Source organism: Homo sapiens, chromosome 3 (assembly GCF_000001405.40).
Source record: "Homo sapiens chromosome 3, GRCh38.p14 Primary Assembly".
NCBI lineage: Eukaryota > Metazoa > Chordata > Mammalia > Primates > Hominidae > Homo > Homo sapiens.
Genome location: NC_000003.12, coordinates 61153957 through 61180791, shown reverse-complemented (window position 1 = coordinate 61180791; position 26835 = coordinate 61153957). Strand labels below are relative to the sequence as shown.

General features: G+C 38.1%; 1 protein-coding gene across 8 annotated transcripts in view, besides 1 other annotated feature; it reads left to right on the top strand.

Annotated features, from left to right (window-relative positions):
* FHIT (fragile histidine triad diadenosine triphosphatase) overlaps positions 1-26835 on the top strand; it is a 1504176-nt gene that overhangs the window by 70661 nt on the left and 1406680 nt on the right. The window lies entirely within an intron of this gene.
* Positions 6893-7002: an enhancer, noted in NCBI's record as "active region_20020". NCBI's record gives its function as "activates an Ori minimal core promoter by ATAC-STARR-seq in GM12878 lymphoblastoid cells {active_cell/tissue: GM12878}" and the evidence as "EXISTENCE:reporter gene assay evidence [ECO:0000049][PMID:35858748]".

Below are 26835 nucleotides of genomic sequence, written 5' to 3'. Positions count from 1 at the left end.
ATCTGTTAACATCATTGATAAGGTCCCTCCCCCATAGTTCTTGTCTAGCTTTAAATAAAAGCAGGGCAATTAAATCAATTAATACTTTGCTTGGTACTTTTTTGTGACTGAATCAACTTATTTTTTGAGGTAGCATCAGTTTTATTCAGACAGCTGCACAAACATAACCTCGGTATTTAGTCTTGGAAGACATGCAAAATACATTTCAAGTCTGTGCTTCCTAAACACAAAACTGGAGAAGAGAGACTGAGTTGGAACCCCCATGGTCTTCACATTTCTCATTCATGGAAACTGAAAACAAAACTAGGTCTAACCTAACTATTATTGAATTTATCGTTGAGAGGGAAGAAAGGAAAATCTGCTTAGCATATTATCTTCTGACTTCCTGTAAAGTGAAATAAACCTAATCAGTACTGGTGTTTCTAAAAACATATCAATTGTTTACATTTTAAACGCAATTGTTAATGAGCTGTTATTATGAAAGTTCACCACATTGCTCTAAATCACTTGCTGAGCCAGCCATCAGAGGCTTACATCCCAGCAAACATTTTCTGGAATTTGCAGGGCACAATTATGATTGACTACAGATCTCCTCACACTTTCATTACAAGAATTAATGTAGTGAATTGCTATATAAATTGATGCCGTGAGGGAAAGGCACGCTAAGAGGTTTTAACAAGACTGTCAGTAGCTCAATAGTTTGTAAAGTCAAACTTCTCAGTGTTTTCAGAGTGCCCACCCTCTTTCTCAGTGTATCTTTTCTTCTTGGTCTAGTTAGCAAACTGAAAGGGAGAGAATGGTTGTTTTATGTCAATTTTCTGTAGAAGCATAACATGCTATAGGATTTGTATACTTGTAAATCCAAGTTGTACATCTTGATGAATTTTCCCAAAGTCATCATGCCTAAGGAACCAGCATCTAGAATAAGAGGTAGAACATGACACTCTGATGCCATCTTCCACTCACTACCATGCTTGCTTCCACTGAGGCTGTCACTATCTTGACTCATCTGCGATTGGTTTTACCATGTTTTTGAATTTGTGTGTGTTTTTGGGTGGTTTTTTTTTTTTTTTTTTTTTTTTTTGAGATAGGGTCTTGCTCTGTCACCCAGACTGGAGTGCAGTGGCACAATTATAGCTCACAGCAGCCTTGACTTCCTGGGCTCAGGTGATCCTCCCGTCTTAGCCTCCCAAGTAGCTAGGGCCACAGGTATGCACCACCACACCTGGTTAATTTAGTTTTTTATAAGAGACAGAGTCTCATTATTGTTGCCCAGGCTGGTCTTGAACCCCTGCCCTCGAGCAATCCTCTCACCTTAGCCACCAAAGTGTTGGGATTACAGATGTGGGTCACTGTGCCTGGACTAATTTTATATAATAAATAGAATCATACGGTATGGGCTTCTTTGTGTGTGGCATATTTTGCTCAACATTGTTTGTGAAATTCGGAATGATCTTTTTGTGTTTAAGAAATAATGTAGGCTTGGCTGGGCATGGTGGCTCATGCCTGTAATCCCAGCACTTCGGGAGGCCGAGGTGGGCAGATAACGAGGTTAGGGGATCAAGACCATTCTGGCCAACATGGTGAAACCCCGTCTCTACTAAAAATACAAAAATTAGCCAGGCATGGTGGCACATGTGTGTAGTCCCAGCTACTTGGGAGGCTGAGACAGGAGAATTGCTTGAACAAGGAGGCAGAGGCTGCAGTGAGCCAAGATCGCACTGCTGCATTCCATCCTGGGCAACAGAGTGAGACTCTGTCTCAAAAAAAAAAAAAAAAAAAAGAAAAAGAAAAAGAAATAATGTAGGCTTGTGGATGTCAAACAAAATCACGTGGTGGACAAATACTTTGGAAACTTTATAGTGCCTTGCAAATCTAGCCATGGCATGGCTGACTGAGTAATCTGGGGTGTTTTCATGTTGGGGAAAAAATTGGTGTCATTGAATTATTACTGACTGTCAGCCACACCATTTGTTTGTGCAAATTTGACAGTGATTTATACCAGATAACTCATTTATATCCTAATAGATAAAATGGTAAGATTTTCAGATACTAGGGTTCCAAAGGTCATCTTAGAAATGTACTCCCTGAGGTTTATTCTTGTACAGGTTAGTGGACAATTTTTTATAATTGACTAATTAAATGGAGGCTAGAGTATATTTGAACCTAAGGCTATATCTTAAGGTTTCTACCTTTTTCTATTTAATTGCATTAACTGTGTGAATTAACCTATAATTACAACGTTTTTTTCTTCAGTGTCACACTATACATAAAATTTGGCTTACAGGCCAGACTACATACTAGATTACTATATTCTGGAAGGCCACATACGTAATGGTTTTCTTGAAAATAACACCTCTTATCCCCAATGCCCACCACCTCACCCTGTCAAATCCAAACTAACCACCTTCTCAGCAACACATTGCAGAGGTTAAGAGCATGAGGTGGCCTCTGTTGGGTGTGCAAGTGGATTCTTTAGCCTTGATAAGCCTCCCTTCCACCTCTGAAAATGAGGGTGAGAGTAGCACCTCTCATCAAGGTTGTTGGGAGTCCAGTAATGGTTTCATTCAACAGAATGAAACCCAGTGCCTGGCACAATCTAAACACTCAATAACTGCCGGTTACTATTGTTATTATCATTCCATTTTATAATTACCCCTCTTAACACATAGGGATTTCGTGATTAACGTTAAGCAGGTGGTCCTAAGAAGAATTCTTTCTTAAACTTTAAATCAAAACAAAACTTCCTTTGCCATCCTTCAAGTGGCACAGACTCATTTAAACACCATCCAGACCAATGGGATGCATCACTGATAGATTTTTAATTTTTATTTTTACAGAAGGAAAAAAAACCCAGAAAGTGGTGGTATTTTAATGCTGGAGCAAACCTGGTATCATTTTTTAATGTCTATCTGATGACAATCTGGTTATTAGGTTGTCAGAATTTTTTGACAAAATGTAGTGTTGGACTACCTAATTACATTGCTTCAGAGTCCAGTGGGGCTGCTGATCTGTTTTCTAATAATTTTTGGCCGGGGTTGTTTTGTTAAAGGCAAACGTATCAGTCATGTGAGATAGGTTTGCTTTTTATGTTTACTAGTCTAAACATGAAAAATCCATTTAGGCCTGCTATTGTGGAGAGCAGTAATAATACACCATTCTTCTCAGAACCCAGATGTCCCATTCATCTGAAAGTTTTAAGTCACTGGGGAGAAATGTCAGAGAGCCAAAAGTTCTGCAGGTTCTATTTTATTTTATATTTTGGTATTGGAAAATACATAATGAAATCAGCATTCTTAAAAATATACATTTAAAGTAACTTTTTACTACCCTCTCCCCAACCTTTATTTTTTATTTTTAAAGATCAGGAGTTTTTTTATAGATTGAAAACTTGCGCAGTGGAGAGTATAAACTAAGAAGTATTTTTACATGCCTTCCCTTGTATCAGGCAGACTCAGGTTTAGTGGAGTTGGAAGCTCATACAATTTGGGAGGTCCTCTTTAAGAAAAAGAGGAAAAGATTATGAATACAAAATTAGATGCAAAGGTGAGTATTTATTTCAAAATGATTCAGTGAAATGATTTGGTTCTCTTTCTTTTTCTTTTTTTTTTTTTTGAGATGGAGTCTTACTCTGTCGCCCAGGCTGAAGTGCAGGGGTGCAATCTCGGCTCACTGCAAGCTCCGCCTCCCAGGTTCACACCATTCTCCTGCCTCAGCCTCCCAAGTAGCTGGGACTACAGGCGCCCGCCGCCATGCCTGGCTAATTTATTTTGTATTTTTAGTAGAGACGGGGTTTCACCGTGTTAGCCAGGATGGTCTCGATCTCCTTACCTCGTGATCTGCCCGCCTCGGCCTCCCAAAGTTCTGGGGTTACAGGCGTGAGCCACCACGCCCGGCCGGTTCCCTTTCTTTCAAGATCTCTTTGCCACAAATGCTTACAGAGAAATGCCTCTTCATGTTTCCTCTCAGCTAGAACACGGACTCCCAAGGACTCTTGGCACTCTGAGGGCCCATGCAACAGGGACCCTGAAGTTTAAGCTTCATCAGCATCATGTCAGTTCTTCTCTGTCTCTTTGAATATGCTGCTGAATCAGTGAGAATATAACTGGTTAGATGGCATCTGGAAAGCTGGAGAAGACGTTTAGTTGGAATTAGCTGTGAAATTGAGTTTCAGGTTAACCTCGAGGTGGATATTGCAAATTCTTAAGTGAATTGGGAGAATAAAAAAAGCTTTATAAAGTATAAAGCTTTAAAAATGGTTATCAAAAAGTAGAATAATTCCAGGATACATAACTTCTCTGCATAAGTTGTTGCAGTGAAAGATTCATTAGAAAAATGTAACAATAAAAAGAAGAGGTATTGATGTTTTCCAGAAAGCTGTATTTCTTGAGGTGTTTAATTTTTTGTGTGTCTCACACAGCAAGTTTCCTGGTGGCAGAACAACATCTAGCCTTGACATGTGGTGTAAATCTTTATGCTCTCTTCAGAATAAAATGATTGCAGCACTTTTCTACTATCAGTGGGGCATGAATTGCTGATATGTTATTTGATGGATCCAAGCATATCAGTTGTCTTTGTCACCAAGAGCCTCAATGGCTCAAACTCTGGAGATAGTTATTCAAGGAAGAGTTTCAGTACTTGGCCATGGGATGCCCCACAACCCAGAGAAACCTGAAACCCACGTCAGCCTTTCGATTCTGTATGTTCATCAGTTATCTATTTACTTATTGCCACTTTGTTGAATGCTCTGAGATACTGATGTTTGTCAATTACGATTTGCTTATGCAAAGATGAGAAAAGATCTTGGCTACTGCTTTATCTGTCTACTTCCAAGGCATGTCAAAAGCCCACTAGTTTTGGAACTTAGATTAGTTATCCATTGTCTTAAGCTGTTTGTGCTGCTGTAGCAAAATATCACAGACTTGGTCATTTGTAAACCACAGAAATTTGTCACAGTTCTGGAGGCTGAGAAGTCCAAGATCAATGCACCAGTAGGACTGGTGTCTGTTGAGGGCTGCTCTCTAATTCCAAGATGGTGCTTTGTTGCTGCATCCTCTGGAGGGAAGTACACCATGTCCTCACATGGCAGGAGGGACACATGGGCAAGAGAGTACTCCTTTTGACCTCAAGCCCTTTTATAAGGGTGCTAATCCCAGTCATGAGAGCCTCGCCCTCATGACTTAATCGCTACCCAAGGGCCACATCTCCCAATACTGTTGCACTGGGGCTTAAGTTTCAACAATTTAATTAATTATTAATTAATTAAATTTAAGTTTGGAAGGGACACCATCATTCAAACCATAGCACCTATGTTGTAAGGTCAAGCTGAGTTGATAGTATATGTCATGTGTTCACTATTTAATGAAGACTTTCCTAGAGCTCAGTCTGGTGACTTTGATGGGGGAGGTGGTCAAGCTGGCATCTGGGTGGAAGATGGATGTTGAAAGTGGCAGAAATGGACAAAGGGATTTTAGGAGAGTTTGTGGTGGCTCGGGAGTATATTTTACCTATCTGGTATTTCTTCAGGAGAGAATACAGGTTTAAATTACTTGAACTACTGTTAATTATTTTTGGTTGCTTATTTTTGTTGTTTTTTGTTATTGTTTTTTAAATGTGTGCTTTGTGTGACAAACTGTGAGGTATTTATATGCATTTCTGCTTTTTTTTCCCTTCTGCCACAATAAGAGCATGTAAACCTTACCTTTGTCATGTTCTTTATTCTTTTCTTAACCTTTCGTGAGGGTTTCGCAGACGTCCTGTTAGGATCCAGGTCTTCTCTTCATTTAATAGATGAGGAAATGCAAACATAGGAAGATGTGCTTTGTGGTTTCCTCGAGATCATTGCATGCCATTCACCATGACTGGAACCCAGCTGACTGACTCCCATCTCTAAAGTTCTAGAAAGGCTGATGAATAGGACAGTTTGGATAATGGTACCCTCACAAGTATCCCATTGCAAGTATGTATTGTATAGAATTGCATGGTGACATCTTAATTGCCCATTTAATTTATGTAGCTACAACATTTTCAAGGCATTTGAAATATCAGAATAGCCTGAGAAATGTGTACAAATAATCTGCTGAAATTAATAAGTGGAAAAGATTTAAAGATATACTAGTGTCTTAACAACAATTGAAGACACAGATTGGCCTGGCTATAGCATGTGAAAAATACCTTTCTTACAGAAAATACATGCTGAATCAAGCATTTTCATTTGGAAGTTAATCAACAGTTGGGCCATAAAGATGGAATCATGAGGTCCCCCCCGCCCAGAGTAAACTCTGAATAGATCAAATTTGCCAACGCAGATGAACCATACAGATTTTGAAATCCTTTCCTGATGCTTTATATTTAATGACATGCCTATTTATTTAGAAATTTAAAATGATTATGCTTACTCACATAAATTATATCTGTAATTAAATGTCTCTTTCCTCAGCATTGCAGTATAATTGTTTTATCATGGTGGTTCTTGGTTTTGAGACTCTGTAAGAATTGTCAGTTGTTGCATTTACTTTAGACCATAAGCAATGGATGCAGATTTTATATGTAGTGCAAGATCTTGAGTTTCCTAATCAGTTTTTATGTTACTTAAGCAGAATAGAAAGCATAGCCATATGTAAAAACTGAGTCCATGTACTATAGGGGGAAGATGTATGTTGGTACCTTTCTAACACCTGCAGTTTCCATTATCCCTCTTCTGCAGCCAGGCTTTAGTAGTGGGATCCTCCCACACTCCCCTTAATATGAGTATCATGGGGTCCTTACATAAGTTCCCAATTACTGCAGGTCAAGATTCAATCAAAAGAGTTCTTTTTTCAATTGCAGTTCACTTAAATAAAGTAATCTCACATTCAAAGTCCAGAGTACTGCAGAGGGCATAGAGTGATAACAAACAGGATGACAAGTTAGAAGGGACATGCTGGCTGGGATGACTCAGTAGGTACTGGGCTTTAAGCAAAGAGTAGTGAAGATTTGATATTCAGACTGCTGTTAAGATGTGTGTATAAAGCTACTTCTCCTTAATCTGGCTGGGTGCCCAAACCTCCTGCTAGAAGAGTCACTTTTAAGTGTTAAATTTATCCCTCAATTTTCTTTTTTATAACCTAACAGTCTCTTTAGGTTCTCACAAAGTAGAGTGGTAGGAAATTTGTATTTTTTTCTATGAAACTTTCTTCCGCTGAAAGCTTGTTGGAAAATGAGAACTATGTTTTGCAAATAACCCCCAGAGTTTTGATGGACTGTATATGTATATTCTGTGAAATACAGTGAAATGCTATCCTTCAGAGATACCTCACAGTTCATACCACCAAAGACATCGAAAGCATTCTAACAATAATAAATACCACAGGTCTTTAGAAACAACACACACACATACAATGAGGTTATTTTTAGTTCTTAGGCAAGCACAGTGACTGTCAAATAAATTATACAGCACATTTTGGAGTGATAGATTAGTAAATTGTCGAATCTCCAAAATATAGCTGTTTGAGTTTTTTAAAAAGAGATTTTTTTTTTCTTTTCAGCAGCTCCAATGAGAAAATAACAAAAAGAGAAATGTTCATGGTTCCACACACGAAAGATGACAGGATGGATTATGAACTTCTAGGTTACATCTAGCTGCACATGTATTTTATTTGGTCTGTAAACTGTTTTTAAAAAATTAAAATATTAACATTTTTAAATCAAGGTATTTAAAATAAATTTAGCAGCTTCTGACATCCCTGGGAAGACATGGCAACATCTGGCCCTGTCTCCTCCATGGTAGTATTTCCTTGGAGCAGAATAGTTGCTGCCCTGTTTCATTGCAGGTGGAGGGGTAAAGGCTCACTTTGTTTTGGCTAGGCCTGCTTTACTCGTTTAGGATACCTGCCTGCCCCTGCTGGCCATTCTGACCCCTGACTAAGGAAAACCACAATAGCCTTCTGCAAATGTGTTCACAGCTGAGACAGGAAGAGGCTTAGTTTGTGTTGCAGAGAGAACTGGCATCAGTGGGGGCTCTCAGGGGTTGTGTGGGGGCAGTGAGGAGCATTCTAGGCACGTGGATTTAAGCTCCAGTGTCAGTGAATTTTAGACACAACTTCTCAGATCTGTAACTCACAGAAAGTGTTTGGACATAGTCACATAACCATCTATGAGGGAAAATGAAGAAGGGATTCCTTTATTATCTTAGTAACTGTATTTTATCTACTTTTTAGGAATTCTTCAATGCTTAGATTAAAATATTGTTTTAATTGGATAATACTATCACATAATTCAAAAGATGTTAAAAGATGCACAGTGGGATGTCAGTCTCCTTCCATTTCTGTCCCTCGTGCCTCAGCTCCCCTCTGGGCAGTAACCATTGTGTGTCTTTCTTGTGTGTCATTCCAGAGATGTTCTATGCATATGCACACTTATGTCCTTTTCCTTACATGAATAATAAGTCATTATATATGCTGTGCTGCCCTTGCATTTTTCCCCTTGCATATTTTAAGCTAAGTTTACATTAGAGATCACTGCATCTTGGTACATGAAAAATGACCTTGTTATTTTTAATGTCTTTATATATGCTCTTGCATAGTTGTGTCATGGTTTATTTAACCATTACTGTATTGAGTACATATACTATATATATAATTGAGATTGTTTTCTGTCTTCCAGTGATAAAATTCTATGTATTCACAATTTTCTTCTTTCTGCACCCTCTCCTTTTTCCCCATGACTTTGATTTTGCTCACAAAACAAAATGATTGACATGAAACTTTAGGTCCACCCCTAGGCAAAAAATGCAGCAACTTTGGTCACAACAAAATTTCTTTTCCCCCGTCCATCTCTATCAGCAAAACCACTACGTTTAGTTTCATAAAAAAGAGATGAATAAGGGAATATGCTAAAAATTCTGGCAGTAGTTATGTTTTCACACACTTCTGGATCCATGGTTTTCAAACTTTCATGTACATAAGAATTTTCTGGGGATCTTGGTACAATGTAGATTCAGCAGGTGGGGCCTGAGGGTCTGCATTTATAACAAGTGCCAGGTGATGCCCAGATTGCTGGGTTGGGCCACCACACTTTGAGTAAAAAGACTTGTGGAAATTTGTTGCCATTTCATTTTAATGTAGTGAGTGGTGATGTTTAGATTTCACAAATACCCATAATCATCCTGTTTCACAGGCTGGGAGTAGTGAGGTTGGTGGCCAATAGTGGTGTCTTTTGCTTATATGAAAGTTGAATAAATAGTCTATGTTTAGTTTCTGTTTTAGTGTATTTTATAAAATCCTTGATTTAGGTGTGTGATACACTTTAGTTGGTATATTTTCAAATTAATATTTTAGTCTATAAATTAAGATTATAGAGATAATGAAAGAGCTTCTGCATAACAAAAGGAACTATCAGCAGACTAAACAGACAACCTATAGAATGGAAGAACATTTTTGCGAACTATGCATTTGACAGAAGTCTAATATCCAGCATCTATAAGGAACTTAACAAATTTACAAGGAAAAAATGAACCCCATAAAAAAGTGGGCAAAGGACTTGATAGACACTTTTCAAAAGAAGACATACATGCGGCCAAAAATCGTGTGCAAAAAAGCTCAACATCACTGATCATTAGAGAAATGCAAATCAACACCGCAATGAGATACCATCTCACACCAGTCAGAATGGCTACTATTAACAAGCTAAAAAAGTAACAGACGCTAGTGAGGTTGTGGAGAAAAAAGAATGTTTATACACCTTTGGTGGGAGTGTAAATTAGTTCAACCATTATGGAAGATAGTGTAGTGATTCCTCAAAGACCTAAAGACAGAAATATCATTTGGTCCAGTAATCTGATAATCCCATTGGTATTTTTTGGGTATATAATACCAATGGGATTTTTTTGGGTATCTAATACCAGTGGGATTATGGAAAAATCTTGGCTATATACCTGAAGGAGTATAAATCATTGTGTTATAAACACACATGCATGCATATGTTCATTGCAACACTATTCACAATAGCAAAGATATGGAATCAACCTAAATGCCTATCAATGATAGACTGGGTAAAGAAAAGGTGGTACATATACACCATTAAATACTATGCAGCCAAAAAAAGAACAAGATCATGTCCTTTGCAGGAACACGGATGGAGATGGAGGCCATTATCCTTAGCAAACTAACACATGAACAGAAAACCAAATGCTGCATATTCTCATTTATAAGTGGGAGCAAAATGATGAGAACACATGGACACATAGAGGGGAACAACACACACTAGGGCCTATTGGAGGGTGGGAGAGAGGAGGGAGAGGATCAGGAAAAATAACTAATGGGTACTAGGTTTAACATGTGGGTAATGAAATAATCTGTACAACAAACCCTCATGACACATGTTTACCTCTGTAACAAGCCTGCATATGTACCCCTGAAGTTAAAATAAAGGTTAAAATAAAGATTACAGAGATAGAAATAACTTTAACTTCTCATTTTATTTGTTTTCTTTAAAGAGATTATTTACATATAGATTCATATGGGAATAAAATTTAATTGCAAAGTAAAACCAAGGTAATTTGACCAGGTTGTGGTGACTTAATTATCTCTTTTCAGTGGATTGTAAATTCCTTGAGGACAAGATTTATTGAATTGAATTGTCCTTTTATAAATTTGCTATTACCTATGATGAAGATTTTCTCCTTGCCCAAACTTTAATTATACTCCTCTGAGCCCTTTTCTCAACTAGCGACCTTGGCCCCAGACCTCATTCCTGTATTTGATCTTTCTAGCCTGGCTTTAGCAATAATCTTTTTAAGTGATAGCTGGTCACCGTGATGTCTAATCAAGTTTCTCACCCCACCCTTGATGTCTAAGTCATTGGCCTGCCTTTAGCAAGAATCCTGTTAGGAATTAATTTAGCAAGAATTCCCTTACTCCTCTTAGTAGTTTTCTACCCACTGAACCCCTTATCTGCTCTAACACTGGCTATAAATCCCTGACTATCTATCTTTGTTGTATTTGGAGTTGAACCTGATCTCTCTCCCCTGTTGCAATACTGCTATTGCAATAGTCCTTAATAAAGTCTTCCTTACCATTTTAACACATGTCAGAATAATTTTTGTTTAACATTTGTTTCTTGCCCCTCTGCACAATTTTTGTCTTGTATCATTTTAAAAGCAATAAAAGGGAACAAAGAAGTTCACTTCTCATCACATTTCATTTTTCTATATGATTTAAACTAACTTAATATTACTTCCAACTAAATTCATATTAAAGGTGAAATCACTCAAAATTTAAAGTTTTTAAAGATAGATTTTGAAATAAATCTGAATTCTTACTAATCTTTTGGGTCATTAAAATATAATTTTCAGTAAAAGGTAAAGTTATGACTCATATAGGTATAAAAATGAACACATGCTAAAGATTTTATTTTACTTATATGATTTGAGAGAACCAGGCAGATGTTATAACTGGCTCAAAGGAAAAGTCAAAATGGCACAAATTTATATGGACTAAAAGAGAGTTAAGATGAGTTGCAAATTGAGATAAAACTGTTTTCTCCACAGTAGGAAGTCAATTAAAATCACAGCCTGTAAGACAGAATTTATATATATCTATCAGTTATCTACAACTTACGAAGTGGTGCAAAATAGCTCAAAGACATTGTACAAGGCTAGAGTCAGACAGCTGGAAAGAGTGTGTTTATAGATGATGTGTAGGTTTTCGTTGAAATGTAATAATTTTTTTCCTTCAAGGTGGAGGCCATCTTTGACTTAGGTGTACGCCCTAAGTATTGACTTAGAATTTAACTTTGAAAAGTACAAAATAACCCACTAATTGGGGATGACCACACACAAGTAAATGGCAAAGACATAGAGATCAATATGTGTGCTACAAAACATGGGAAAAACTAGGGACATTTTATAACACATAGCTTCTGGCTTTCAACCTTGTAGCCTGAAGACTGAAAAGAAAAAGAAATACCTTTCCCTGTACTGGCAAATTTGAGCTTCATGGTGTGAGTTAACTATCCGCCCAGATCAGGTTGTTTGTAAGAATTCATTTTCATAATTGAGCGTATGCACTTGAACCAGAAAATATTTAGAGAAGACAATATAGTGGGAAATCAACAAAAACAGCTTGAAACCGTGCCTTGAACTAAATTCGCATTCTTCAGAAACCAAGTTGAGCCAGTGAATGCAGGAGTGGAGACATTGTGTGGCCTCCATTCTGAGAGTGCTGGTGGGAACACAGCATTGCTCAAGTTAAGACGTGATAAATCCCTGTCACAAGGTTGACTTGGGTCTTCCTCACTGGGACACAGGGCCAGAAAAATGAAACCTTCAGGTGAAATTGAGAAAGTTGTGCCTCAGGCAACTGCCATTAGGTTAAATTCTTTCAGGTGCATTTTATAGCCATTTTTTGCATACTTTTGTCACTCATTTTTGAAGTCACATTTCTGAGAGTGTTTGTTACTTTTATTTCTATGGATCCTTTTCTCTACCTCAGGGGTTAGCAAACTTCTTTTGTAAAGGGCCAGACAGTAAGTATTTTAGGCCTTGGGACCCTACTGATTCTTTCACAACTGCTCAACACCATCTTGCAATTTGAAAGCAGCTCTAGACAGTAGGTAAATGTGGCTGTGTACCAATGGCATTTTATTTATTGGTATGGAAATCTGAGTTTTATAAAACTTTCATGTGTCATGAAACATAATTCTTTTGAATTTTTTCAGTGCTTTTAAAATGTAAAAATCATTCTTAATTTGTGGTGGTATCAAGAGGCTGCTGTCCAAGTCTGGCCCTGTGGGCTGTGGTGTGCCAATTCTTGCTTTATAGAATGGATGGGATATAGTTACTGGATATAGATCAGATTTTTATGTTGTGGTTTTGTCACTTACCAGCTGAGAGATCTTGGACAAATAATCTCACCTCACTGAAATTGGGTTTCCTTTGTTGTAAAATGTGGATGATCCCTAAATACAGAGTTGTTTTATGGACTAAATAAATTATGCCAAAACCCTGTGCTTGGGCCTCCAAAAACATTGAATAACTGTTTTCTTTCTCCCTGTTCCTTTCCACCTCTTGGTACCTTCTTTTCTTTTTTCTTTTCTTTTCCTTTCCTTTCCTGTCCTGTCCTTTCTTTTCCTTTTCTTTTATTCTCTTTTCTCTTTTCTTTTCTTTCTTTTTTTTTTTTTTTTTTGAGACACAGTTTCACTCTGCTGCCCAGGCTGGAGTGCAGTGGTGCAGTCTCAGCTCACTGCAACCTCTGCCTCCCAGGTTCAAGTGATTCTCCTGCCTCAGCCTTCCAAGTATCTGGGACTACAGGCACATGCCCGACTAATTTTTGTATTTTTAGTAGAGATGGAGTTTTGCCATGTTGGCCAGGCTGGTCTCGAACTCCTGACCTCAATTGATCTGCCCGCCTCAGCCTCCCTAAGTGTTGGGATTACAGGCATGAGCCACAGCACCCAGCCCCGTATTTCTTTTAACGTCTGTATATGCAAGTTTTTGGCAGTAGCTGTTTCATTTTGTTATTAATTGAATTTTTATAAATGGCATCCAACTTTTATATTTATATTAAATATAGTATATATTTAATAGGGATATAAATATAAAATGTATTTGTATTAGGAAAGTGCTCAAGAAAAATCCTGTATCGAATTCTCATGTTAAAGTAGATAATCCGTTTCTAAATCACCCATTCTGTCAACTCATATTTCCACTTACCGGATTTTCACATTAGATTTTCTGTGTCAAGATATGCTTGTTTGTGTTTTTATCTGAAGAGTGAGAAGTGGACCTTGGACCACCCTGTCTGGAGTCATTCCCTGGGCTTCTCCAGCCCCTGAAGAAAATGTGAGTGACTACTTCATCATTTTACCTGTTGAGGCTTTGCAATGGCACTTACTCTAACCTGTGGCTATTTTCTTTTATTTGTTGATTTTTTTATTGCCAGACTCCCTCACACTTCCAGGATGGAAAGCACCACACCTGTCTTACTTAAGACACCACACCTGTGTGCCCATTGCCTCACATAGTGCCTAGCAATGAGTAGGTGCTTTATGAACACTCAGTGCTAGAATGAATGGACAACATTTATGAAAGTGACTGTATTTTGGAAGCAGGAAAGACGATCTGCAGTTTTCTGTGTTACAAGTGGATATTTGGAAAGTTGGTTTTTAGAAAGATTGGTGTTGAACAGATTTGAGTTAATCTTGAACTGTGTGTATTAAAAATCAAACAAACATACAGCAGAAGGGACCAATTATTGCTAATAAGGAAGGTGTTAAAAAAATACAGCCTGCTTCTGTAAATGTGAGGTTTGTAAGTAGAGACAATAAGAACCACATTCCAGGATCCAAGAAGAACTCTAAAGGATGTCAGGTCTATTTTACTCTACAGTGTGTCTGGTGAGTGTTTGTTTCCTTGGCAAGGTGGTATAATGAAAACAGAAGTATAGACGAGGAGTAGAGAAGAAAGCACTAGGTTTGGAATCAAAATACCTGGATTCAAGTCTGGCTCTTCAGATGACTGTGAGGACTGGCAATGTGACTTTGGGCAAGTCCACTAACTTCTCTGAATTAAATAACTACTCTCAGGTTGTTTGTGAAGATCAGATAGCATGTGTGCTAAGTGCTTGTGTAACCTCTTAAATTCTGTACCTATCTAAGTTAGTATATTTTAGTATAAATGACTGACAAAAAACGGTGGCATCAGCTAGAAGACAGTAATGGTGCACAAATTTGGATTCCTCCTGCCCAATTCCTAAGAGCCCTATGCACGCTTTGCTGATGTATGAGGCAAAAGGACAACAGTTTCTTCCAACCCTGGGTTCCAGGCCTTAAGAATCTAGACAAGGTGATGGTAATGGTGATGATGGTGCTGCTGCTGCTGCTACTGACATGAATGATAAATTCAATAGCAGCTATTATTTCATTAGTATCCATTCTTTGTCAACCAATTTTCTCTCTCTTCTTCTTTCTTTCTCTTTTTTTTTCAGAGTCTCACTCTTGTCACCCAGGCTGGAGTGCAATGGCTCGATCTCAGCTCACTGCAACCTCTGACTCCTGGGTTCAAGATATTCTCCTGCCTCAGTCTCCCGAGTAGCTGGTATTACAGGCATGCGCCACCACACCTGGCTAATTTTTGTATTTTTAGTAGAGACAGAGATTCACCATGTTGGCCAGGCTGGTCTTGAACTGCTGACCTTGGGTGATCTGTCCACCTCAGCCTCCCAAAGTGCTGGGATTACAGGTATGAGCCACTGTGCCCAGCCTGTCAGTCAATTTTCTAGGCAATTTATAGACATTACTCAAAATTTTTTGAACAGGCAAAAAACAAGTAACTCTATTAAAAGATGGGCAAAAGATATGAACAGACACTTCCCAAAAGAAGACATACAAGTGGCCAACAAACATATGAGAAAATGCTCATCATCACTAATCATCAGAGAAATGCAAATCAAAACCACAGTGAGATACCATCTCACACTGTCAGAATGGCTATTATTAAAAAGTCTAAAAACAACACATGTTGGTGAGGCTGTGGGGAAAAAGGATGCTTATAAACTGTTGTCGAGAATGTAAATTAGGTCAGCCACTGTGGAAAGCAGTTTGGAGATTTCTCAAAGAACTTAAAACAGGACTACTATTCAACCTAGCAATCACATTACTGAGGATATATGCAAAAGAAAACAAATCATTTTATCAAAAAGACACATGCATGTATATGTTCATGCAGCACTATTCACAATAGCAAAGACATGGAATCAACCTAGGTGCCTATGAATGGTGGATTGGATATAGAAAATGTGGTACATATATACCATGGAATACAATACAGTCATAAAAAAAGAACAAAAGCATGTCCTTTGTGGCAACATGGATGCAACTGGAGGCCATTATCCTAAGTGCATTAATGCAGGAACAGAAAACCAAATGTTCTTACTTGTAAGTGGGAGCTAAATGTTGGGTACTCATAGACATAAAGATGGCAACAATTGATACTGGGGACTACTGGAGGAGTGAGTGAGGGAGGGAAGCAAGGGTTGAAAAGCTAACTGTTGAGTACTATTCTCAGTACCTGGATGACAGGATCATTTGTACTCCAAACCTCAGCATCATACAATATACTCAGGTAACAAACTTGCCTATATACCCCCTGAATCTAAAATAAAAGTTGAAACAAAAAAAAAAAATTCTTACCACATTTCTGTGGGATAGTTTTTGTTGTTATTATCCCCATTTTTCCTCATAAGTAAACTCAGGCTTAGAGAACTTAAATAACTTGCTCAGTGTTTCACAGCTATTTACAGTGGAGTCTGGTGATTCCATCTTTGTTGAGGCCCATCTTTGTTCTATGCCAATGAGTCTCTAACAAGCATCAGTTTCACCTGAAGCGATTGTTGATACCTAGATGGCTGGTCCCTCTTCCAGAGTTTCTGATTTCATCAGTAGGTCTGAGATGAGGCCTGAGAGTTTCCAAGAGGTACTGCTGGTCTGGGAACCACACTTTGAGAAGCCTTCTTCTATACCATGCTTTTTGTGCTTTGCCTTTGTTCAGGTTCAAAATACCCAGAAATCCTAGGTTCTTTTGGATTTTAGGACTCTTTGGAGAAGATGAGAGGACTTTCAGAGACTTTATATTTTTATCTAGGTCTTTTCTAGAATCTGGAATACCATTGGACCTTGTAGTAGGTGATCGATCTCCATGGTTTTTCAAATCAGTAACACTTACATCAAAATGCAGTCTCTCCTTTTCCTTCTCCTTTGGTCAGCTTTGGTCTAGATCTGTTTTTCTGATTTATAATAGGAATATTCATAGCCCAATTTGTTCACTGATCCATGGATCTACTGTGTTGCTGATGTACGCAACTGCAAGGGAGAAGAAAATATTTTTCTTTTCCATTGCCAGGTTAATGGCTGAGGCCCCTATAACAAAAGAAAGATTAATAAGAGAAAGGGACATAAATTTATTTAGTATAAGTTTTATGTGACATGGAGAAAGGAAGACTCAAAGAAACAGGGAAACTTGTATATTTTTATGCTAAATTTGATGAAGAGCAGACAGTTGTGTAGAAGTATGATTGGACATAGGGGGTGTGATCTAAAGATAATAAACTGGGGGGAACTTAGCAAGCCTTCTTTATTCAGATTTTTCTCTTTATCTCTGTGCCTTCAGAGATAATGACATTCCTTTCCTCCAGGCATAGGAAGGGTGCCTCTTGAATAAGGCCTATGACCCACTTTAGAGGAAGGCTAGAGATTTCTTTTATGGCCTGCTTCAGGGGAAAAGTGTGGGAGAAGGTCAGAGAGACTTTCCTGCTTCCACTGTTTTGTCAAATGCCGACATGCCATATTTTGGGGTAGTGTGTCAAGAACCCCATCACAACAAATATTGTTTCAGCCTTCTGTGTGCCAGACACCTAACTGGGTGCAATGGTATGTAAAACCGGATATGGTCCCTACCATCAGCGAGCATTATTCTAGTGAGGAAAAGAGACATTAGTCAGAAAATCCAGACAGATAAATGTCAATGGTGTTAAGTGCAAGAACTATAACAGGGAGATCTAAACTTCTTGGCAGAGAGGAGGGGTAGTTAGGCAATGCTTGTTTATGGAGGCTATAATTGTGCCCAAATCTGAGTGAAGATTAGGAATTAACTAGGTCCAGAAGCTGGAGTGGGGAGGAGGGAAGAACATTCCAGGCTGGGAAATGGCATGTGCAGAGAGTGTGAGAGACAGGAGTACAGCACAGTCCTACAAGTGAAGTCTCGAAATTGATAGCCTTAGTCCAAGATCTATACATGTATTAAAGAATAATTCTCAAATAAAGGTGAAATCATGACTCTCATACTGATATAAAATGAAAACATGTTAAAGATTAGGTCAACTTATAATGAGAGAACCAGCCAAATATTATAACTAGTCTAAAGAGAATCCAAAAAGCCCAGACACATTTATATATCAGGAATACTGAAAAGAATGTTACAAATGGAGGGCAAAACTGGTTTCTGAGGGTGGGGTAGGGGGATTAATTGAACCTCCAGAGAACAGAACACAATTTGCTTGCCTATAGGCAAGAATTATTTTGCATTGTTATCATTTATCTATAATTTACAGAGTTGAAAATTAGTCCTCATAGAATCAGAATCTGATAATATGGTAATTGGGAAATGGGATCCTTTATATTCTAGATGAAGCAAAGTTTTATACTGAAGCACAATTTTTTTCCTGCAAATGCTTGAATCATAATATATGTTTATGGTTTAGAGCTAGTTGGATTTGGTTTTAAGGGCTTGATAGCATAGATGTTACCCCAAGAAGTATGGGGTGGAATTCACTGCTAAACCATTTATACACTACCTTGAGTATGATCCACCATGTTGAGTAAAATATCCAGCTGGCCATACCTTGGTACTTCCCTTTAAACACAAGTTTAACAGATGGCCTATGACTACCTTTTTCCTTCTCCTGGTAGGAAGCAAGAAAAAAACCTGAGAAGAAGCAATCAGAAAGTCAGACTAGAACTTGGCTTTCATTCAGGAGCCCCTCTTAGAACAAAGAGGGGCTTTCCAGTGAATCTGAAAACCAAAGTGGTTTGCCAAGGTGAGGTGTGCCACAGACTCCAGAGGGTTTACAACAGAGAAAAAAATTTCTTCAAGTGTGTCAGGTAGAGTCTTAACTAAAAGAAGGATAATCATTTGGTCAATTAACAGGATGACTGTTGCTGATGAGTTTTAATTGATGATTTGCTTTGTTGAAATGTTAAACCAGCGTTGACAGGTACTACAACTCTTTAACTGGCACTCCCACTCAGGAGTCATGTGTTAAACACTTACCTAATATTTGAGAGAATCAAAAAATCATCCCGTTTTTTCTCTTGTAAACTGGATGTGTTCAGTGTAGACACCTTGTTTTCCATATCAGGGTCGTATTGTACAAGGAGACAGAATTAGAATGGCACTTTTAATTCTATTTGTAGCAAGTTAGAGTTCCAAATGGCAATTTCACGACTGTTTGATAAAAAATGTCACTGGTTTTGATTGAGTTGTGTTATTAACCTCTAGCTAGAGAGTCTTTTTATTTTTATTTTTTGATTTAGTGCAAATGTGTCTGACTTCTCAGTAATGCATGCTGTCTCTTGTTTCTGCTAGAGAACGCTGGCCAGTAGAATAATGCATTTCATTGGCTGGTTCAGTGCAAAGACTTTAAATAAAGAAATGGCAAGATAAGAAAGTTGCCTATAGGCGATAGCAGTGCTGATGTTTTTTTCTTCTCCAAATGTAGTACAAGATATTAAAACTGTCTCTTAAAAATAGCAATTTGTGGCTGGGTGCAGTGGCTCATGCCTGTAATCCCAGCACTTTGGGAGGCCAAGGTGGGCGGATCACGAAATCAGGAGATCGAGACCATCCTGGCTAACATGGTGAAACCCCCGTCTCTACTAAAAATACAAAAAATGAGCCGGGCGTGGTGGCATGCACCTGTAGTCCCAGCTACCTGGGAGGCTGAGGCAAGAGAATCACTTGGATCTGGAGGTGGAGGTTGCAGTGAGCCGAGATTGCGCCACTGCACTCCAGCCTGGGCGACAAAGCAAACCTCCATCTAAAAAAAAAAAAAGCAATTTGTTTTCTTCTGCTCTAATCATGGGTGAAAGTGCTGTGAAATCTGTATCTTTTTTTTTTTTTTTTAACTGTGGATGATTCAGTTAAAAGGAAAAAGTTAAAAAATAAAAAATCCCAACCCAGCAAAAGCAGGCTTACTGTTTGCTAAATCAGGCCTCTAATAGTAAACAGCTCAAAAAGCCTTCCATAATATTTATGAACAATTTCTCAATTTTATACCCAGATATTTCTATTACACTCTGCAAAGGAGATAATCTGAGCTGAACAAAAGAGAAGAGCCTTTTTTAGATTGAATAGACTGGACAATTCAGTAGCAAAGTGCGTGATTACCAATCTTTCAAGCAAAGCTTTTATGTAAGGCAACTTTATAACTTCATCCATTCCAAAGAGAAATGCATTAAAGACCATAGGGAAAATAAAAGGCAAAAGAGAAATGTAGAGAAATAGCCCATTCTTTACATCTCTATAGCCACTTGTTTCATGGCTATCCTCACTGAGTTAACCCAATTTAAAGCCACAGTGTAACTTTAAAAAAGGCATTTCACTGTTCCCCATGGTAGTCAGTCTACACAAATAATGAGAGGACATGACTACCATTATTTTTCTTCCTTCTGTTGTTTTAAAATATACTTATCTCTTCCACTGTATGTTCCTGTGTTTTATTGCATGGGAAAAGGTAATAAGTGTCATCAATAACAGCCATCTTAACATGCTGCAGGAACTGTCAAGTAACAGTGATTATTGTAAAAAACGAGCTTTCTAATTTCCTTGTCGCTTACAGAGTAATCTAAGTGAAAATTTCCAACGTCCTATCTTTACAAAGAAACAAATACATTTATTTTTTCCTCTAATGGAAGAACTTATGTACATGATTCCTACTTGATGGTAGATCATGGCACGTTTTTCAAAGCTTGGGTCTCTCACCATTGCCTCAGAATCACATGAGGCACTTGTAAAAAGTGCAGATATCTGAGTTCTCTTCCAGAGTGATGAAATCTGATTCTTGGGGCTAAGGAGGTGGGGGTGGGGGTGTTGGAGAGGAATGTGTAGTTTTCTCAAATTCTCCAGCTAAATTATTAGCACATTTGAAGTCTGAACATTGCTTTATGGGAATGAAAAGCCTGGTGATTGTAATAAACTGTTGAATGTGATATAGAAAGAAAATATGCAGTAGTTGTGGCAGATGTTGTATATTCTTTATCTCATACTTTCCTTCATTCCCTAGTGTCAAAAACTCAAGGCACAGTCTTTTTAACTTGGCATCAAAGTTCTCAGGTACCGATCCTCACAGAAAGAGGCATGTGCACATAGGCATCCCATTTTGCACATGATTTCAGGGGGCTGATGACCCCAAAGAGCCTGACTTAAGAAAAGGAATTCTATAGATGAAAACAAATGCTGAATTAGGGAAAATGAGAACTAGTAAATTTGACTTAAGTTGGTATCCTACTGCTAATTCCAAGTCAAAACAAACAAACCAAAAATTGAAATATTACTCTAATCACAGACTTCATATTATAGACAGAAGAAATCATGTCTTATATTGTGTACAAGTATTGAGAATTAGCAAAGTAAACATTTAATAATGTTAAATGAATTCATCCCCTTGAAATCCATCCATGGACTTTGATGGCTGCTCCTTGTATCCAGGAACTTTTCAACTAATGGGATTATTTTAAGGGGAAGGGGATGTGAAGACACCAAGTGGGCAAGGAAGAAACATGGCATGTGTATCCAGGCCGCCCCTACAGTTGAGTCTTCTGTGCACTGAATGAAGATGCATATCTGAGGTGTGGGTGGGGGTTGAAATGCAGCTTGTGCACCCTATTGTGGGACTTCGTCTCTGCAGGGAGGGGAACTTTTATAATTTGCCTTTTATTTACAGATTGTATCAAACGCACACCTAACATATTCTACCTATTTTCAGCCATGAGACAGGCTAAGTTCCTGAATGTTCTCTCTCATTGGATAAAAAACTCCATGGATACCAGATAGAAAATGTTAGTCCTATTGATCTCAAATAGCATTACTTTGGATCATATGGGAGGTGACCAAAATTATTTTTAAATTATTTATTAGAATAAACTACAAGTCAGGACTGCACCAAAGCTAGAGAGAAATTAAGTATTTGTTAGAATAAGCTATTTTTTCCCCACTAATGGTAACAATTTAATATTGGGCAATCACATTTCAGTCTAAAAAAATTAGCAGCAGTGCTGGATTTTGGTCTAATATCATGGGACTTTTCCCAGTCTACATGTAAATCATCCCACCTTTGTTGCAGCAGTGGAGAAGGGCTTGTCACTAGGTCTTCTAATGGACTGCTAGAGTTTAATTATATGTTGTTTTATGGTGTCTGGCAATGTGATTCCCCTGCCTGACATAGTTTATGAGCTTTTTAAAAATAAAGATCATGTGACTTTGTGTTCTCATTTGCTAAAAAGCATTCATTCTTTGGGTTCTTGTAGATCCTATTGCTGTAGTGAACTTGGACCTGGTGTTGTTATTTTGTAAAAATGTCCTCAAAATCAAATGTCACTGAATATAAAGACAGTTCTAATTAATTAATGCAATGGAAAAGGTAAAAGGAGGGAGCATGTGAGGACTCTGCCAGGTGCTCTGGCCTTTCTGTCAGAGATGAAACCATATTCGTAATGTGAAGTAGGGGTACAAGGACTGCCTCCATTAAAGAGCAAGAGATGAAATGCCCATGTGAGTGCAGCACTGTACATTTAGTTAGACAAATCTCCCTTTAATTTACAGCTTCCTAGAGAGAGTTATATTCTGCTTCTGGTGGCCTGCGGTTTTATTTGGTTACCAATTATGGAAGCTAGTTGTGTTTCAGGAAGCCCTCTGAAAGGTGTGCATAGACAATAAATCCTGTGCCTTGCTAGACGTATTGATGGTTCTGTTGATGAGAGGTTGCACAAAGTCAATAGTTGATTCTACTGCGTGGTGACATTTGCATTTAATAAAAAGTCTTGTTTATTGTAGCTTCTGTATAAACACAACTGGCACCTACTGTGTCACAGTGGAAAATGCTAAGTAGAAAAGAAAATGTATGGCTGAGAAGGAAACGTAAATATGAATGATTATTGTTATTTTTTGTTTGTTTTAAAATAATGTGGACCTCAGGTCACAGAGGTAGATTAATTATAAGTTTGGTTCATGACTCACTGTCATCCATGGTAAATTCTGTTTTATTTTATAATATTTATTTCATAATATAACAGGCATAAACCCAACAAGTAAATATTACCAATAACTTACAAATTTGTGCCCCCTTTTATCCCATCTCTACCTCTTCGTAAGAGGTAACCAACTACTAACCTCATGTTCATCATTCCCTGTCCTTTTTAAGTTTTATATGTACTCCTATCAATAGCCATTTAGTTAAATTTTTAAATTTTCTTCTATGAATGGTGCTGCTATGAATGTTCTTATACACATTTCCTGGTACATATGTGAGAAAGTAAAACATGGCTCTACTGGCAACTAGAACATAAACAATACTCAGAACAAGGCATAAACAAAGCCATTCTGTGACCCTACAAATGACTAAACACCCCTTTCTTCTGACTATCACTGTCTTTCTCAGAGTGACTGCTGCTTCTGGGCAAACTTCAGTTTGTTTCAATTCCCCAAACCCTAGAGGAAGCCACTGATAATTCCCCTTTACTAAGATGCTCCCAAGGTTCCTCTGGGGTACTTTCTCCTTTGCTACAGTAAGGTGAACCACTTAACTTTGACTACCAGGGTGTTCCTGGTGGCCTTTCACTGATGGAGTTTGACATATGTGCTCAAGTTTCTCTTGGGTATTAATATATACTCAGAAGTGAATTTGCAGGATGGTAGATTATATGAAAACGCAAAGCTTATAATCTTTAAAAATCTTGCCAATCCCCATTCAAGTGTGTCTCATCACATCTTACTTTCATCCACCATGAAAAAAATAATCTACTTGACCCATTTCTGCGCACACATTAAATGTGCAAGACAATCTGTATATATATATAGATGTATCCCTTACAACATATGGACAACTCACTTCTTTTCTTTAAAGGAATATATGTTTATTCTCTCTGTTGTCGTATGGTATTTTCAGTAGTTGAATATGCTTAGCAAAATTTATGTTTAGTCTGTGGTTTATTTATCTTTTTAAAAATTCAGGTGAAGAATCATATCCATGAGGTTTTCTTTAATTATAGCTGCCTTTTCATTTTTTGAGTGACCCAAAACAGTGGTTTTCCAAACTTTAGTAGGCATGTAAGAATCATCTCAAGAGTCTGTATTTGCAGGAGAATCTCTAGAGGATTGTAAGGTGGAAAGAGGGTCCTATAATGTGATGCAAATAGATGAATTAGTCACCAGTGTCAAGAGGAAAGCCCCCTTGCAGAGTCATGCTTTGTCTCACCTAAAAGGTGAAGCATTGGCATGATGTTGCTAATTACAGAAAGATGTTAATGAAGTGGATATTAAACTGAACTGGGACACAGTATAGATTATACCATAAGTGAGTGGTATTTGGTGAATGAATGAGTGTAATGCAAGGGAAATTATATAAACTTTACCTCTTAAACTTGGAGGAGGGGTATGGTATTTTCTTGAATCTATTTAAAATTTTAAATGTATACCATGTGTACCATGCTAGGTATACATGGCAAACCAAACAGACAAAATTCCTGTCTCAGGGACTTTGGGTTCTTGGTGGAGAGATAGACCACAAACAAATGATTTCAACATTATTTAGGGACCGTTTCGATAAATGTTATGAAGAGGAAGTTCAGGGTGCTGTGAGAATGGATAACCGGGGCCTCCCTTAGTTTGGCATCTCCCCAAGGTCACCAATGTTTCTGTGAAAAAGTGAGGTTTAAGTAGACTTAAAAAATGGTAGGTATATGAGTTAGGGGTTCCAAGACCATTACCAGGTTCAATGATTTGCTAGGAATACTCACAGGACTCAACATATAGTTGTACTTGCAGCCATGATTTATTACAGCAGGATAAAAAGCAAAATCAGCAAAGGGAAAAAGCGTATGGGGTGAACTTCAGAGGAAACTTGATGCAAGGTTCTGAGAGACCTCTTTGAGTGGAGTCACATAGGACATGCCTAATTCCTTCAGCAATGAGTTGTGACAACACATGTGAAATGTTGTCCAACAGAGAAGCTTGTTAGGGCATCAGCACCCAAGGCTGTTATTGGGGGCTGGTCACGTAGATACTCTCTGGCTAGCACATACCAACATTTTAGACTCCCAGAAGGAAAGCAGGCATTTAGCATTTCATTATTTGAACAAACAGTTCGGGCACAGTGAGCCACTCTTATCAGTTCTGGGAATGATGGCAACCTTCCCAAATCCATGTTCCCAGATGCCAGCCAAGAGTCAACTTTGCAAGCAGGTCTATTTCTCTTATGTCTCTTTTATCATCATAAAGTGAAGTCTGTAGATATTACCTACCTACCTGCAAACTTTTTTAAATTCTAAAAATAGCAACCTCAGGCCTTCTATGGTAACTCTTTTCTGCACAGCATAATCACTGACAAAAGTAGGAATGAAGTAGCATGCTGTCTTAGTCTTGCTTTAAAATATTTCAACGAAGAAGAAAAAAAGGAGAAGATGAATGAAGCAAATGTGGGAAAATCTTGATCATTGTTCAACCTGGGTGGATAGGTACTTGGAGCTTCATTATACTGGTCTCTCATTTTATTTGAAAACTTTTATAATAAAAAGGAAAAAAAAGAAACAAGAAAGAATAGTAGGTGTTGACTAGGCATGGAGAGGGCTAGAGTTTGTTTATTTCTGTTCTATTTGATTCAGTTTAATTAAAAAAATTAATCTACCTCCTTCAGTTTAATTCAATCAATTATTATTTAGCATCTGTTTTTTTAGGGCTGTAGCAAAGTCCTGTGAAAGTTACAAAGGTCAGCACCACATTGAATCTCTGTGTCTGCGGGCTCATCCATGAAATGGGTGTGCTCATAAGTTCCCCTCTCTTATGAGGGGACTTTGAATATCCAAAGAATTGTTGGAAAGTGAAAGAAACCAGCTGCTCCAAGTTTCATTAGCAGCCATGAATGTTATAATAAATGTAGATTGCTGCCTTGGGGAGGCATGAGATTCTCTTACTGGCTTGGAAGAATATTCAATGAGGCAGAACCTTCCTGAAGAGAGCGGAAATGATGGCAGGGATATTGCCTGGGAGTATTGCCTTTGGCAGTGCCTTGGCAGGGGAAGAGGGCCTGTCGGGTCCTCCCTTTGAGGGGGTGAGATGATGTGAACTAGCTTTTATTTAAAAGGGAATAGATAAGCTATTGAATTGGAGCGCATCTGAGGGCTTTATTTGAAAATGCTTTCAAAAGCTGTTTTGACAAGAACAGGGAGGAGGCAGTGGTATCATTAAATAAGCTGGCAACTTTTGTAACCAGCATTTTGGTTTTCCACCTCAAGGGAGAGTCAATAAACTTTGATTCCCAGCATTAATGTAATTATTTTGATTTTTCTGGCTCATTCCAGGGAAGGCTGCAGAGCTGCAATATCAGATGGCCGAAAGCAATGCAGAAATCCCATGTCCCCAAGGACACGCGCTGCCGTTCAGAAGTAGCAGGAGAGGGGGTGGAATAAATCATTTCCTCTGATCTTGTTAGTGTTGAGAATATTTTAGGGGGTAGCAAATGCATTGCAGGTCTAATACCAGAAGGCTACTGCAGGCAGAAGGAAAAAAAATAACAAAATTTCTCTGTTTTTCCTTTAAATATGATTTCCTCTTTATATATTTTTAAAATTGTTTTATGAGGGGTTTTTCCCCCCTTTCTGATTCTGCAGGTTCTTCCTTCTACATTATCATGTTTTCTGTCATCCAGGGATTCTTCCTGATACTGCCCCTGGCAGCTGTAATATACTTAATGTCAATTGTTACTCCAGTAATATGTTCGGTTCATTTAGTGTAAATGGTCCTATCATTCTGGGAGGTTTCCCTGAGCCAAGTGAGAAATGGCTTTCATGAATATCCAGGCTTGCATGGCTAGAGGAATCTGCCACGTGCGAGCCTGGTAATTATTTTTTCTTTCTAGAAAATATACTGTATTTAATTTTTAAAATGCCAGCGATTTGGGGTTTTTTAAGACAATGGGCAGTTGTGGAAAGAATAGAGCAGTTGAAATTTCTTCAAGTTGGGAGCAGAGGCACAGAATGTATTCATCTTGAGGAGTTAAACTTTGATGTGAGGAGATATACATAGTTGCAAAC